Genomic DNA, 16,854 nt, shown 5'->3' with positions numbered 1-16,854 from the left:
CCAACCAGAGAAAGCCCAGGGCAGGATAGATTTTCTGCCAAATTCTGTGAGATGTATAAAGAAGAGCAGAAGACACCATTCTTACTAAAACTATTCCAAAAAATTGAGGAGGGGAGACTCCTTCCTAACTCATTCTATGAGGCCAACATTGTCCTGATATGAAAATCTGACAAAGACACAACAACAACAAAAAATCCAACTTCAGGCCAATATCCTTGATGAACATTGATGCAAAAATCCTTAACAAAATACTAGCCAACTAAATCCAGCAACACACCAAAAAGCCACAATCAACTAGGCTTTAGAATGTGAGGTTGGTTCAACATATCTAAATCAATAAATTGATTTATCACATAAACAGAACCAAAAACAAAAAACACATCATCATATCTATATATGCAGGAAAGGCTTTAGACAAAATTAAACATCTCTTTGTGTTTAAACCCTAAACAAAGTAGGCATTGAAGGAATATCCTTTAGAACCTTAAGCGCCATCTATGACAAACCCATAGAAAACATCGTACTGAATGGACAAAAACTGGATGCATTCCCCTTGAAAACTGAAATAAGACAAGAAAGTCCTCTCTCCCCATTTCTATTCTACATATTACTGAAAGTCCTGGCCAAAACAATCAGGCAATAGAAGGAAATAAATGGCATCCAGATAGGGTGAGAGAAAGTCAAACTATCCCTGTTTGCATATGATACTATTCTATATCTAGAAAACCCCATTATCTCAGCCCAAAAGCTCCTTCAGCTGATGAACAACTTCAGCAAAGTTTCAGGATACAAAATCAATGAAAGAAAATCACTAGGATTCCTATATAACAACAATATCCCAGCAGAGAGACAAATCAAGAACACAATCCCATTCACAATAGTTATAAGAAGAATAAAATGCCTAAGAATACAGATAAGCAGGGCGACAAAAGAACTCTACAAGGAGAATTATCAAACACTGCTCAAAAAAATCAGAGATGACACAAACAAATGAAAAAACATTCCAGGCTCATTGATAGGAAAAATCAATATTGTTAAAATGGCCATACTGCCCAAGGCAATTTATAGATTTAATGTTATTCATAAGAAACTACCGGAAACTTTCTTCACAGAATTAGAAAAACTATTTTAAACTTTATATGGAACAAAAAAGCCCGAATAGTCAAGGCATTCCTAAGCAAAAAGGACAAAGCTGAAGGCATCACATTGCCCAACTTCAAATTATACTAGAAGGCTACAGTAACCCAAACTGCATGGTACTAGTACAAAAAGAGACAGATAGACCAAAGGAACAGAATAGAAATCCCAGAAATAATGCTACATACCTACAAACATCTGATCTTCAACAAAGTTGACAAAAATAAGCAGTGGGAAAAGGACTTCCTATTCAATAAATGGTGCTGGGATAACTGGATAGTCATATGTAGATGATTGAAACTGGACCCCTTCTTTATACTATTTTAAAAGGTAAACTCAAGATGGATTAAAGAGTCAAATGTAAAACTATAAAATCCTGGAAGATAACCTAGGAAATGCCCTTCTGGACATAGGATCTTGCAAAGATTTCATGATGAAGATGCCAAAAGCAATTGCAACAAAAACAAAAATTGACAAATGGGATCTAATTAAAGAAAAGAGCTTCTAAACAACAAAAGAAATTATCAAAAGAGTAAACAGACAACCTACAGAATGGGAGAAAACATTTGCAAACTATGCATCTGACATAGTTTGGTCTAATATCCAGAATCTACAAAAATCTTAAATTAGCAAGCAAAAACTGAACAACTGCATTAAAACGTGTGCAAAGGACATGAACAGACACTTTTCGAAAGAAGATATACACACAGCCAAGAAGCATATAAATATGCTCAAAATCACTAATCATCAGATAAATGAAAATTAATACCACAGTGAGATGCCATCTCACACCAGTCAGCATGGCTGTTTTTAAAAAGTCAAAAAATAACAGATGCTAGCAAGGTTGCAGAGAATAGGCTATGTTTATACACTTCTGGTAGGAATGTAAATTAGTTCAGCCACTGTGGAAAGCAGTTTGGAAATTTATCAGATAAGTTAAAACAGAACTACTATTTGACCCAGCAATGCTATTATGGGGCATATACCAAAAGGAATATAAATCATTCTAACATAAAGATATATGCATATATATGTTCATTACACTGTTATTCACATAGCAAAGACATGGAATCAACCTAAATGCCCATCAACAGTAGGCTAAATAAAGCGAATGTGGTACATATACACAGTGGAATACTACATAGCCATAAAAAACAATAAAATCATGTTTGCAGCAACATGGATGGAGCTGGAGGCCATGATCCTCCACCAACTAACACAGGAACAGAAAACCAAATACTGTATGTTATCACTTATAAGTGAGAGCTAAAGTTTGACTACAGATGGCCACCAAGAAGAAGAAAACACACACTGGAACCTACTTGAGGATGAGGGGTGAAATGAGAGCAAGGACTGGAAAAGCACCTATTGGATATTAAGCTTATTACCTGGATGAAAAAATAATCTATACACCAAACCACTGTGACATACAATTTACCTATATAACAGACTGGCACATGTACTCTTGAACCTGAAATAAAAGATTTTAAAAAAAGAAAGAAAAAAATGGTTGTGAAAAACTTCCCATAACTGGTGAGAAAAAGGAACATCTACATCCATGAAGTACAAAAAACTCCACATACATTAAATATAAAGACATCTTCACTGAGACACATTACAATCAAATTCCAAAAAGTCAGGGATGAAAAGAAAATTTTCAATGCAGCGAAAGAAAAATAACATATTATGTGCAAGCGAATGTCTATAAGATTATCAGTTGATTTTTCAGAAGGTACCTTTCAGGGCAGGAGAGAGTGGGATAATATATTCAACATACTCAATGAAAAAACAAAACAAAACAAAACCCTGCAAACCAAGAACACTATACCTGGCAATCCTATCCTTCAGAAACGATGAAAAGAGAGGAAGTTTACCAGAAAAACAAAAGCTGAGAGAGTTCATTAACACTAGACCTTCTTTATGTAAAAGACTAAAAGAATTTCTTCAAGATGGAAGATAAAAATGCTAGCTGATACCATAAAAACACAGGAAAGTATAAAGTATAAATTGACTATGTTAAGTACATAGTAAAATTTGAAATACTCTAACATTGTAGTGATGGTTGGTAAATCACTTAAATCTTTAGCATAAAAGACAAAACTATTAAAAACAACAGTAACTACAATAATTGTTAAGGAATATGCAATAAAGAAACATGTAAATTGTGACACCAATAACAAGAATGTGCAAACAACAGCAAAAGTGTAAAATATTTTTATGTGATCAAGTTATCTTTTTAAAATAGTCTATTATAAATATATTTTTGTAAGCTTTATGGTAACCACAAAGCAAAGACCTATAATAGATAAATAATAAGAAGCAAGCAACCAAAGTATACCACAAGAGAAAATTATCTAGTCAAAAAGAAGAGAGAAAGAGAGGAAGAAAGAAACAAAGGACCTACAAAACAACCAGGGAACAATGAACAAAATGGCAGTAGTAAGTAATTACTTATTAATGATTATTCAAAAAGTAAATGAGTAAAATTCTCCAGTCAAATGGTATAGAGTGATCAAATGAATTTAAAAAAATACCAACACACAACTTAATGTTCCTACAAGAAACTTACTTTAGCTTTAAGAACACACATAGGCTGCATGTGAAAGAATTAAGATATTTCATGCAAATGATACCAAAATAAAACAGTGGTAGCTATAGTTATATTACATAAAATAGACTTTAAGTTAAAAACTTTAAAGAGAGGCAAAGGTCATTATATAATAATAAAGAAGTCAATTCAGCAAGAGGATATAATAATTTTAAATATGTGTGTACACATCATTGGAGCCCATAAATATATAAAGCAAATATCAATAGATCTGAAGAGAGAGAAAAATTGTAATACAATATTTGTTGGATAATTCAGTACCCACTTTCAACAATGGGCAGGTCATTCAGACAGAAAAAAATTCAATAAACAGCGGACTTGAACTACACTTCAGACAAATGGACCTGACAGACATACAGAACATTTCTTCCAACAAGAGCATAATAAACATTCTTCTCAAGTGCACATGGGACATGCTTCTGGAGAGATCATATATTTGGCCATAAACATAGGCTCAACAAATTTTAAACGACTGAAATCATATCAAGTATAATTTTCACCCAAAATAGTACAATACTAGAAATCAATAAAAAGAGAAAGATTGGAAAATATTCAAATATGTAGAAATTAAATGACATTATCCTAAGCAACCAGTGGACCAGAGAAGAAATTAAAAGTGAGATTAGTGGTGGGATCCAGCAGTCCCACTACTGGGTATCCAGCCACATACAAAAATGATTATATATCAAAAAAACACCAGCATGCATGTGTTTATTGTAGCATAATTCACAATTGCAAAGATATGTGCCCATCAACCAAAGATGGATAAAGAAAATGTAGCATACATATATATACATATACATATACAGACACACACAGACATATACCATATATATATACACACACACACATATATACCATGGAATAATGGTAATTGACTAGCCATAAAAAAGAACAAAATAATGTATTTTGCAGAAACTTGGTTGGAACTGGAGGCTGTCACTCTAGGTGAAGTAACTCAGGAATGAAAAACCAAATATTGCATGTTCTCACTTAAAATTGGGAGCCAAGCTGTGGGAACCCAAAGGCACACAGAGTGATAAAATAAACATTGGAGACTCAGGGTGGGGAGGGGAATGAGTGATGAAAAACTACCCATTGAGTACACTACTCGAGGTAGAGTACTGGAGTGATGCGTGCACTAAAATCTTAGACTTCACCACTATATAATTCATCCATGTAAGCGAAAGCCAATTGTACCACTAAAGCTACTGAAATAAAAAATTAAATTAGTATTAGAAAAATATTTTGAGACAAATGAAAACGAATATACAACATACTAAACTTATGGTATGTAGCAAAAGCAGTCCTAAAAGGGAATTTTATAGCAATAAATGCTTACATTAAAAATAAAGATCTCAAATAAACAACTTGACTGTACACCTTGAGAAACTAGAAGAAAAAATAAGCCAATATTTTGTAGAAGTAAAGAAATAATAAAGATTAGAGCAGAAATAAATGAAATAAAGACTAGAAAAAGAATAGAAAAGATCGAGAATGAGAGTTGTTTTTTTTTGAAAAGGTGAATTAAATTAACAAACTTTTAGCCAGACTAAGAAAATAGAAGACCCAAATAAAATGAAGATGAGAAAGGAGACATTACAACTTAAACCACAGAAATTCAAAGGATCATTAAAGAGTATTATAAGCAACTAAGTATCTTATTGATACATATTGGAAAACCTAGAATAAATTGATAGATTTCTAGACACAGAACCAAACAAGATTGAACCATGGAGAAATCTAAAATATACATAGATCAATGGCAAGTAATAAGATGTAATTAGTAATAAAAAGTCTTCCATCAAAGGAAAGCCCAGAATGGGACGGCTTCAAGTCTGAATTCTATTTAAAGAATTAATACCAATCTTTCTCAAACTCTTCCAAAAAATTAACTAGGAGGGAATACTTCTAAACTCATTTTATGAGACCAGTATTACTCTGACACCAAAGCCAGAGAAAGACACTACAAGAAAATAAAACTAAAGACAAATATCCTTGATGAAATAAGATGCAAAAATCCTCAACAAAATACTAGTAAACTATTTTCAACAGCACATTAAAATGATCAAGTGGGATTCATCCCTGGGATGCAAGAATGGTTCAACATATGCAAATCAATAAATAATTTGCAACATTTATTGATTATTACTAAATAATAATAAATTACATTTATTATTGTTACTAAAATGAAGGACAAAAAAGATTATCCAATAGATGCAGAAAAAGCAATTGACAACATTCAGCCTTATTTTATATTTAAAAAAAACTGTCAGAAAATTAGATATAAAAGGAACGTACTGGCCGGATGCAGTGGCTCATGCCTGTAATCCCAGCACTTTGGGAGGCCGAGGGGGGCAGATCACCTGAGATCAGGGTTCAAGACCAGCCTGGCCAACAGGGTGAAACTCTGTCTCTACTAAAAATACAAAAAATAGCCGGCCCTGGTGGCAGGCTCCTGTAATCCCAGTTACTTAGGAGGCTGAGGCAGGATAATCGGTTGAACCCAGGAGGCAAAGTTTTCAGTGAGCTGAGATTGCGCCATTGCACTCCAGCCTGAGTGACAAGAGTGAAACTCTGTCTTAAAATAAAGGAATGTACCTCAACGCAATAAAGACCATATGCAACAAGCCTCCAGCTCTCAACATACTCAATGGTGAAAAGTCAGTTTTCCCTCTAAGATCTGGAACAAGACAAGCATGCCCACTCTCACCACTTCTCTTCAACATAGCACTCAAAGTCCTACCCAGAGCAATTAGACAAGAGAAACAAGCAAAAGCATTGAAACTGGAAAGGAAGAAGTTACATTCTCTCTTTTTGTGAATGACATGATCTTACATTTAGAAAACCCTACAGACTACATTAAAAAATACTATTAGAAGTAATAAAATAATTTGATAAGGTTTCAGGTTACTAAATAAACATACAAAAATTAGTAGCATTTTTACACTAACCATAAACTCTCCTAAAGGAAATCAAGAAAACAACCATATTTCCAGTAACTACAAAAATACTTAGGAATAAATTTAACCAAAGAAGTAAAAGATCAGTGCAATAAAAATAATAAAACTGGTATCAAAGAAATTGAATAAAACACAAATAAATGAAACTTATCCCATGTTCATAGACTGGATAAGTTAATATTGTTAAAGTCTTCATACTACCCAAAGCAATCTACAGTTTCAATGCAATTCCTGTTGAATTTCTAATAACATTTTTCACAAAAGTAGGAAAAATAATCTTAAAATTGAGATAGACCCACAAAAGACCCCAGATATTCACAGCAATCTTGAGCCAAAAGAATAATGCTGGAAACATCATACAACCTGATTTCAAAATATACTACAAAACTATATTAATCAAGACAGCATTGTAGTAGCATAAAAACAAATCCATAGACCAATGGAGCAAAATAGCCCAGAAATAAATTCACATATTTACAGTCAATGGAGTTTTTAAAGATGCCAAGAATAGATAATGTTGATAAACAGTTTCTTCAATAAATGGTGTTGTGAAAGCTTAACGTGCATACATAAAATAATAAAATTAGACGCTTATCTCATACTGTACAGAAAAATAAACTCAAAATGGGTAAAGACTTGAACATAAGACTGGGAACTCTAAAACTACTACAAGAAAACTTAGGGGGAAATGTCACAACATTGTCCATGTTATGACTGTATGACAAAATCAACTGGAAAATCATTTTTTGGTTATAATAGAAAAAACGCAAGGGTAAAAAAGCAGAAAGAGACAAATGAGATTGTATCAAAATAAAAACTTCTGCACAGGAAAGGGAACAAATATTAGAGTGAAGGGACTACCTACAGAATGGGAGAAAATATTTACAAAGCATACATATGATAAGGGGTTAATATTCAAACTGTATGAGGAACTTAATAACTGGCAAAAAAATACCCCAATTTAAAAAATGGTCAAAGGACCTGAACAAACTTTTCTCCAAAGAAGATACAAATATCTAGAGGTATATGAGGAAAACGGCTTAACATCAGTTATCACTAGGAAAATTCAAATTAAAACCTCAGTGTCATCTCACCTCATACCGTTTACAATGGCTGTAATTAAAAATAAAAGGTAACAGTTGTTGGCAAGAATGCAGGGGAAAGGGGATATTTGTATAGTACTGGTGGTAATGTAAATTGCTATAGCAATTATTCAAAACACTATGGAGATTCCTCAAAAGATTAGAAAAGAATTACTGTATAATCCGGTGATTCCATTTCTGGGGAGATATCCAAAAGAAATGACATCCAATCCCAGCACTTTGGGAGGCCGAGGCGGGCGGATCGTGAGGTCAAGAGATCGAGACCATCCTGGCTAACATGGTGAAACCCCGTCTCTACTAAAAGCCCAAAAAATTACCAGGGCGTGGTGGCGGGCACCTGTAGTCCCAGCTACTCGGGAGGCTGAGGCGGGAGAATGGTGTGAACCCTGGAGGCGGAGCTTGCAGTGAGCCGAGATTGCGCCACTGCACTCCAGCCTGGGCAACAGAGCGAGACTCCTTCTCAAAAAAAGAGAAACGACATCCATATGTCAAGTGATATCTTCACTCCCATGTTCACTTAAACCTTACAATAGTTGAGATGGAGTCAAATTCGGTGTCAATCAACAGATGAATGGATAAAGAAAAGTATATACATACAAAGTGGAGTGTTATTCAGCCTTAAAAATAGAGGAAGTCCTGTCATTTGTGACAACATGAATTAACCTGGAGGATGTTATATTAAGTGAAATAATCCAAGCACAGAAAGACAAATACTGCATGATCTCACTACTATGTAAAATCTAAATATCTATATATAAATGGCAAAATGTCATGCTGAGATGAAAAATTCTTTAAAAGTTTAGCTCCCTTATTGGAAGATGAATAATGTGTTTCTCAAAAACCATTTTTTTTGGTATGAAATGCCGTGGTCCAATGAGTCTCTTTTTACACCAGCAACACGTATGACCCATGACCAGGACCCCTTTATTGACTCTCAGTATTCTTTTCAAAGTACACATGATTCTGTTTCTTCATTCATTGTACTTGAAATGTAACTAGAGATTTAGTCCAGTTATAATTGTATTAAAATATTTACATTGATATTTGGAGATGCATATATAAAACATTTCAGCTTTGGCTGAAAAAATGTTGCACTGAGGAACATAAACATTGTGTGGAGTTGAGGTATTTAGAAACCAAGAGGTATTCTATCAAGAAAATGTTAGCCAGAGATGCTGTCTGTAGAATGTGCATGTAATGTCTTAGGTGCTACTTGAAATTTATCATAGGGATGAGAAAAGTTTTCCAGTTGTATAATGCTTTTGGTGCATTCCTTCTTCAATTCCATCATTTTAAAGATTTTCAAAAGCTTATCATCTCTCTGCTGCCAACTTCCCACAGACCTTTCCTCAGACAATTAAATCCACACAAATCATCTTTTTCTAAAAGTCATTGACTACTCTAAGTGTGAAGAGCCCTCTTGTTTTATGGAGAGAGAAAATAATGTTCAGAGAAGAGTTGAGAGACAATTGTCTCACGTTTCTCCACTTCTTGCAAGCAGAGGCACTTACTGCCATTTTTTCTAGACTATCTTTCAAGAATGTTTGGGTAGTGAAAAACCTTTTTTTTTTTTGTTTGTTTTTTTGAGATGGAGTCTTGCTTTGTTATGCAGGCTGGAGTGCAGTGGCGCGATCTCGGCTCACTGCAACCTCCGCCCCCCAGGTTCAAGCGATTCTCCTGCCTCAGCCTCTCAAGTAGCTGGGATTACAGGCACGCTGTAATTTTTGTATTTTTAGTAGAGACGGGGTTTCACCATCTTGGCCAGGCTGGTCTTGAACTCCTGACCTCATGATCCACCTGCCTCGGCCTCCCAAAGTGTTGGGATTACAGGCGTGAGCCACCGCATCCAGCTGTGAAAAACCTTTAAAAGTAGAGACAGCATCTTCCTCCAGAGCAAAGGGTAGGTTTGCTTATAGTCTTGAAAGTTTCCATTCATAGTGAAGACAGGCATACTTACTCCCAGGTACAATAAAGAAGTCTCCCTCTGAAGCAAAGGGTAGGCTTGCTTGTTGCCCATTATAAGTGATTCAGGTTCGTTCCCTAAACTCTCATAATGTAATTACAGGGGCCATTTCTCCCCTGTAACATAACCCACTCAATGTGAAGGCATCTATCTGGCCCATCGATGTCACCTCCATGAGACTTAGAGTAAGGGAACCTAGGGTGAGTGTGCTGCTGCTTGTTCTGCTTACTGTACCATGAGTAATAAAAGTCCTTTGTCTTTTGCCAATCTCAAACTGTGGAAGTCTACCTTACCTTGCAAGTAGGGTAAAAATCTCAGAACCTTTATAATTCTTGACATGAAGTTAAATGATTTTTGCTTGCAGCACATTGGAAGAAAACAACAACCTCAGCTTTCTTTTTCTCTCTCTCTTTTTTTTTTTTGAAATGGAGTCTTGCTCTGTCACCCCAGCTGGAATGCAGTGGCACATCTCAGCTCACTGCAACCTCTGCCTCCCGGGTTGAAGCGATTCTCCTGCCTCAGCCTCCCAAGTAGCTGGGATTACAGGTGCCTGCCACTGTGCCTGGCTAATTTTTGTATTTTCAGTAGAGATGGGGTTTTGCCATATTGGCCAGGCTGGTCTCGAACTCCTGACCTCATGATCCGCCCACCTCGGCCTCCCAAAGTCCTGGGATTACAGGTGTGAGCCACTGTACCCGGCCCAGGAACAGCTCAGCTTTCTAAGAATGTCTCCCCAAAGAAAACCTGAAGGTAAAACAAATGTCCTTCCAAACATTTGCAAACATCAAATACTGTGGAGTTCAAGAGGATCACAGATTCGGGAATCTTGTAAGAAAATAAGTATGGAAGAAAATCAACCAGAGCACTACTAAAATTTGGGGTTATACAGTCAGAGTTTTTATTAGCCTATCCTCAACAACACTTACAAAAATAAATTTTAGGATTTTTGTTTGTTTCTTTAAGAATTTATCTATATTTCTAAAGCCATCTTCGTAACAACTTTTAAAATGCTGACCATTTAATAGTTGGAATCTTTGAACATTTTGAGTATAAAGTGCCAGAGAATACAATTATAGGTTATTTAACTATGGGGATATGTTCTAAAAAACGCATCCTTAGGTGATTTCATTTTCACGTGAACATCAAAGACTGTACTTACACAAACCTAGATGGGATAGCTACAAAGCGTCAGTAGCATAAGACTTTATTTGAAAATGTTCTGGCTGGGCGCGGTGACTCACGCCTGTAATCCCAGCACTTTGGGTGGCCGAGGCGGGTGGATCACGAGATCAGGAGATCGAGACCATCCTGACTAACACGGTGAAACCCCGTCTCTACTAAAAACACAAAAAATTAGCCGGGCGTGGTGGCAGGTGCCTGTCGTCCCAGCTACTCGGGAGGCTGAGGCAGAAGAATGGAGTGAACCCGGGAGGCGGAGCTTGCAGTGAGCACTCCAGCCTGGGCGACAGAGCAAAACTCCGTCTCAAAAAAAAAAAAAAAAAGAAAAAAAGAAAAGAAAATGTTCTTGGCCTAAGAAGAGTCCCAAGGGCCATTCTGACTTGGGGCAGGAAGGTGAAATGTTTTATGGGGCTTTAGCAAGGGTACTTCAGCCACCATCAAGGATAGAGGGACTGTTCCTGAGGATTAGCAGTCATAAATTGAGTAATTTGAATTTAATCAAAAGATATGAAGATAAATCGTTAGGGGATGAAGTATTATGCAAGTGGGGATTAGTTGGAGGAGGGGGACATTAGCTGAAAGGGCATGAACATGAAAGTCCAGAGGAAATGTCTTAGGTATGAAGCCTTTTGATTCTTTCATGTGGGAAATAGAGTAATTGTTCCCCTTATACAAGTTTGAGTGAGGTTCATCGCAGAGGAGCATGAATTATTTGCCATGCTGTGCTATGCAGAATTATGACCCCCATGACCCTTGATGTTATGTAATGTGTGCCCTATGAATGTGAGCAGAACCTGTAAATAGGATGAGATTGAAAAACCACAACTATGTTATATTACATGGAAAAAGGGATTCTTGAAGATACAATGAAGGTTACTAATTCATTGACCTTGTATCAATAAGAAAGCAGGTTTTGGGAGATTCCTGGAGGGGCCCAGTCTAATCACGTGAGCCATTTGAAAGCAGATAATTTTCTCTGACTGGCAGCATAAGGGGAAGTCAAGAAATTCAAAGGCCAAAAAGAATTCACTGTCCTGTTGCTAGCTTAGAAGATGGAGAGGTTCTTGTACCAAGGAATCTAGCTGAGACTGGCACCTAAGCTGATAGCCAGCAAGGAAGTGGGAACCTCAGTGCTACAACTCTACAACTACAAGGAACTGAATTCAGTCAATAATCTGAATGAGAGTGAAAGTTTGTCACACAGCCAAGTTAAACTAATAAACTGACTTTACAGGGGAAAAACATATATGGGGATTAGTCTGGAATCCTCTTGTGAGTTATAATTACCTTCTCCAAAGATCAAAGACCTGGTTCCTCTAAAATTTTAATGAACAGATCTTAACCTATCTTCTGGTGCATTATAAGGCTATTTTAATCTATGCTAAGGAGACAACATGAAGGAAAATTCTTAGGTCTGGCCCTATTGTGTTCTTTAATTGGCTAAGTAGAGAAAATGCCAATGTTGAAAAGAACCAATAGGAAATTCTACTGGATGGTAGGATCAGAAGGCAAGCCAGCAAATCCAGTAAGGGAGATTCTCAGAAAGAACCTGGAGCTCCTTTTGCAAAAGATAGAGAGTGATCTTGATGGTTTTAAAAGTGTGCTCAACAGAGGAAGGAAAGCATAGGCTTTTCAGCTACTTGTGGGACAGTCCAAATTGAAATGCATGAATGGTTTGAGAAGTACATAAAGGTTATAACAGGGTGATGCAGGCAGTGGTCTTGTCAGGAAATGGACAGTGCAGAAGGACTGACCATACATGGACTGACAGAACCTGCAAGTGGAGGGTGCTCAGAGACCAAAACAAACAAACAACAACAACAACAGCAACAACAACAGTATATTAGACTACGAAGGAGAAAAAAAGAAGAATTGAGTTTTAGCTCTGCTTTCTTCCATAGTACAGTATTGGAAAAGTCAATTAAGTTACCAATATTTTAAACTCTATTTGCCCCACTGCTCCAAACAGGGATGCTCCATAACCATTCAGCAGCTCCCTTCTCCCTGTGTCTCAAAGACGGCCCTACTCCAGGTTCTCACTCTCTCTGCCTCTACTACTGCTGGCCTAGCCTGCATAACAGCTGCCAAGATTCCTGGAAGGTCTCAGCTGCTTGCTGGATCTTCAGGGCTGCAGGATAGGACATCTGGTTTCTGCTGAGCAAGGGCAAGGTCTGCCTTGAACTTGGAAAGGTTTCCAGTTTAGGGGAAGGGACTTCATCTGTGGCCATTCCCAGGATATGCCAGGAAGAGCTCCTCTTGATGCCAGAACCTCTTACTGTCAATGCCCTCTGTAGAACCGCTGTCTCTCACTCCTTGCTCCACCCCGGCTTAAATACTGTGGCTCTTCTCTCAGATCCTGTTATACATCTCTACCATTACCTAGCCTGAAAAGCCACCTCAGATTCAGCCAACAAGTAAGTGGGCATTACAGGAGAAGGGTACCTTTCACAAGGGCTGTAATCTAAAATCTTGGGGAAGATACAGCGTCATCTGTCCAAGAGGTGTCAGCAGTAACGAAGCCTCAGTAGAAGCCAAAGTTATTTTGGATTACTGAGCCTGTATAGTTTCCAGATTCTCAAGAGAAATATATGGGAATGTAGATATCTCAGAGGACCTTCCTGCTGTCAGGAATTCAGAGGAGGAAATAAGGAAGGTAATAGGTGCTCTGCTCTCATTCTCTCAAACCCTCTTCCCTGTGTTTTCCTATAGAGATTGCTGATTTGCTCCTTAAGCAAGAGATTCACTGCTGCTCAGCATGGCTCAGACCAACTCATGCTTCATGCTGATCTCCTGCCTGATGTTCCTGTCTCTGAGCCAAGGTGAGATTGTTTTCCCCACACATACCTCCCACAACCCCAGCCCTGAAGCCCTCACTCTATCCTCATGCATATGAGTTCACTTGAGAAAAAGCAGAGTCAAGTTCAGGGGTTGTCTTGTGTTGTTCAGTGATATTTATTGCTGATCTCATCCCATTCAAAAACATCCTGACCTCCCTAAGGAGTTAGAGATGGAACTTAGCATAACCCTTTATCAGTGACCACTGCAGTTGGCATTGGTTTGTCATATTAACACTACTCATGATGGGGGGGTTGAGGATGTCTGTTTGTAGACAGTCATTAGTGGAATGGGGAACTGAGGGGAGCTTTGTGTGTAGAGAAACTGGACAGGCTTGAGAAAGAAGCCTCAGTCCTTCAAGGAAGAAAAAGCCATAAGTAAAAGGGACAATGGGGACACTTTTCATGAGCCTATTCATTGTGTGCTCTTGTCTTGAGCAAAGACATCTTGAGAGCCTATAGGTAAGATGCAGAAGGGCAGAAGTGACCAATCGCTTCGTGACCTATAGGATCCTTCTATTCCTATAAAGAATCCTCAGAAGCTCCTACCTCATATTTTAGCCTTTACCTTGCCCTGAGGGTCTTTCTTAATTGTCTCTCTTTTCCCAGGACAGGAGGCCCATGCTGAGTTGCCCAAGGCCCAGATCAGCTGCCCAGAAGGCACCAGTGCCTAAGGCTCCCACTGCTACTACTTTAATGAAGAGCATGAGACCTGGGTTTATGCAGATGTGAGTGAGGAGAGCAGTGTGGGAAGGGAGGCTCACGAAGGGAGGGGAAGCTGCCACTCTCCAGTGTGTTCAGTGGCTGATATGAGATGAGACTAATCCCCTCCCTATCCAATCATCAGCCCAAAACTTTCCAATCTACTTTATCCCATCATTCAGCACAGAGATGCTGGTGGTCAGTGACAGCATCATCAGGGACATTTCTGTGCTGTCCTTTTTCTGTTACATCCTCTGGGAGGGCTCAATATGTCTCCCACACTTTCCTCCTTCACTGAGTGCTCCATTTTCTTCTCCAACAGCTCTACTGCCAGAACATGAATTCAGGTAACCTGGTGTCTGTGCTCACCCAGGCTGAGGGTGCCTTTGTGGCTTCGCTGATTAAAGAGAGTGGCACCAAGGATAGCAATGTCTGGATTGGCCTCCATGACCCCCACCGGATCAGTCTGCTGCATCTTCTACCTCCTGATTATCAGGTTCCAGAGGGTCTGATGTCTGGCACCTCAAGCATCAGTTTTTACTATATTATGATAAAAGCAACCTCTCTATAAATCATATAATGTAAAGGATATCAAGGTTCTCCATAGGTTCTTCGAGATAAGCTTAAAGCTGAATTTCCTGTGTGTTTCAGGCATTCACAGATAAACTCATTCTCTGTACTTCTAGGGTAGCATCTTTATGTATCTATTATGTACCTCTTATCTATTGTGTTATCATCTCTGTTATAGAAGAGCCTTCTGTAGACCATATAGAAAAAGATTATAGAGGAGGAGAATCTACTGCTGGCAATTGGGAACCGCAAGGTATACTAAATAATATATCAACAACTAATGGCCATCTAATGCTATGCTGGATATGAACTTTTGGGGCCTCAGGAAAGAAAAACCAGGAACTAGTTTCAATAATGAGGTGTCATGGTTCCCTGTGGCAAATTTAGAACACTTATCGTTTGGCAGGACACAGAGAGGTAGGTGAACATTCCAGGAAAGAAGCAGCTTAGAGAAAATGTGGAGGAAATAATATGACACTTAGAGAAAAAGGAAGGTTTATTCTTGTCTTATGTCTTGACCTGTTTCTGAGTGCGAACACAAACCAGGTGTTTCTGTCTCTTTCTGAGTCACGTCTGCCCCTGTTCTGGCCCTTCCCCATCTAGAACTGCCATTATCAGTGGAGTAGTGGGTCCCTGGTCTCCTACAAATCCTGGGACATTGGATCCCCAAGCTGTGCCAATACTGCCTACTGTGCTAGCCTGACTTCAAGCTCAGGTGAGAGGCACAGAATCCACACACTTATTGCCATCCTCTCCTATTTATCTCTGAGGATCGACCGGGGACTGGGATAGAGGAAGGGTGAGCTCCTCATTCAGGAAATAGAGGAGTGTTTCCTCTTTATTTTTGCTGAGTCCTGCAGCCAGGAGGGTAATACACTCTGATCCCCTCAGTCTGAATCTTCTCATTGTCTTATAGGATTCAAGAAATGGAAGGATGATTCTTGTAAGGAGAAGTTCTCCTTTGTTTGCAAGTTCAAATACTGGAGGCAATTGTAAAATGGACGTCTAGAATTGGTCTACCAGTTACTATGGAGTAAAAGAATTAAACTGGACCATCTCTCTCCATATCAATCTGGACCATCTCTCCTCTGCTAAATTTGCATGACTGATCTTTAGTATCTTTACCTACCTCAATTTCTGGAGCCCTAAACAATAAAAATAAACATGTTTCCCCCATAGTGCTGTCTTCTGTGTCTGCTATTTCCCCACCTAATGCCTGGGTAGTTGGGATGGCAGTGATTGTAGCACTCTAGAAGTTGCTTCGGCCCATTCACTTTTAAAAACTTTGTCCACATATCATGCATGTTGGACTCAAGGGTTTATGAACATATGGTGGCCTTGCTTATGACAATGTTAAGAAGATAAGGATTTCACTCACCACCCACATATTTCCATGGACCCAGTGTCAGAGAAATTATTACTGTTGATTTACAAGTGACTGGAGTGTTTGGTACTCTAAAGAGGTTCACATACCTGTGACCTGAGGAAGGCACATCTGTGCTTTGTTATACAAGTTGAAGCTATGACTGAAGTGATAATTTGAGAATTGTCAGGTCTACAGTGTTGAATGCATTGGTGTTGGAATGACTAGAGGCTTGGTGGCCAGCAATGTTGGTTAAATGGCACTCCTGGAATGAACGGCTAAATGAATAATAAATTAGATTAATAAAATACTCAGGCATAGTTATTTAATAATCCTATCTTCATATACAGTCAAATTCTGAAGTACTGATGTTAGGACTTTAATGAATTAATTTTGTGGGAACACCATTCAGCCCATAACACCAACAGCATC

At 38.2% G+C, this 16,854-nt stretch overlaps 1 pseudogene across 1 annotated transcript; it reads left to right on the top strand.

Moving 5' to 3' along the window:
• The first annotated feature begins 13,311 nt into the window (after nt 1–13,311).
• REG1CP (regenerating family member 1 gamma, pseudogene) lies at nt 13,312–16,236 on the top strand (annotated as a pseudogene). The gene is given in 1 exon segment (NR_002714.1): nt 13,312–16,236. The product of NR_002714.1 is annotated as a regenerating family member 1 gamma, pseudogene (transcript).
• The last annotated feature ends 618 nt before the right edge of the window (nt 16,237–16,854 follow it).

Source organism: Homo sapiens, chromosome 2, assembly GCF_000001405.40.
Source record: "Homo sapiens chromosome 2, GRCh38.p14 Primary Assembly".
Classification (NCBI taxonomy): domain Eukaryota; kingdom Metazoa; phylum Chordata; class Mammalia; order Primates; family Hominidae; genus Homo; species Homo sapiens.
The sequence above is the reverse complement of the archived record's forward strand: the minus strand, read 5'-3'. Positions and strand labels throughout refer to the sequence as shown.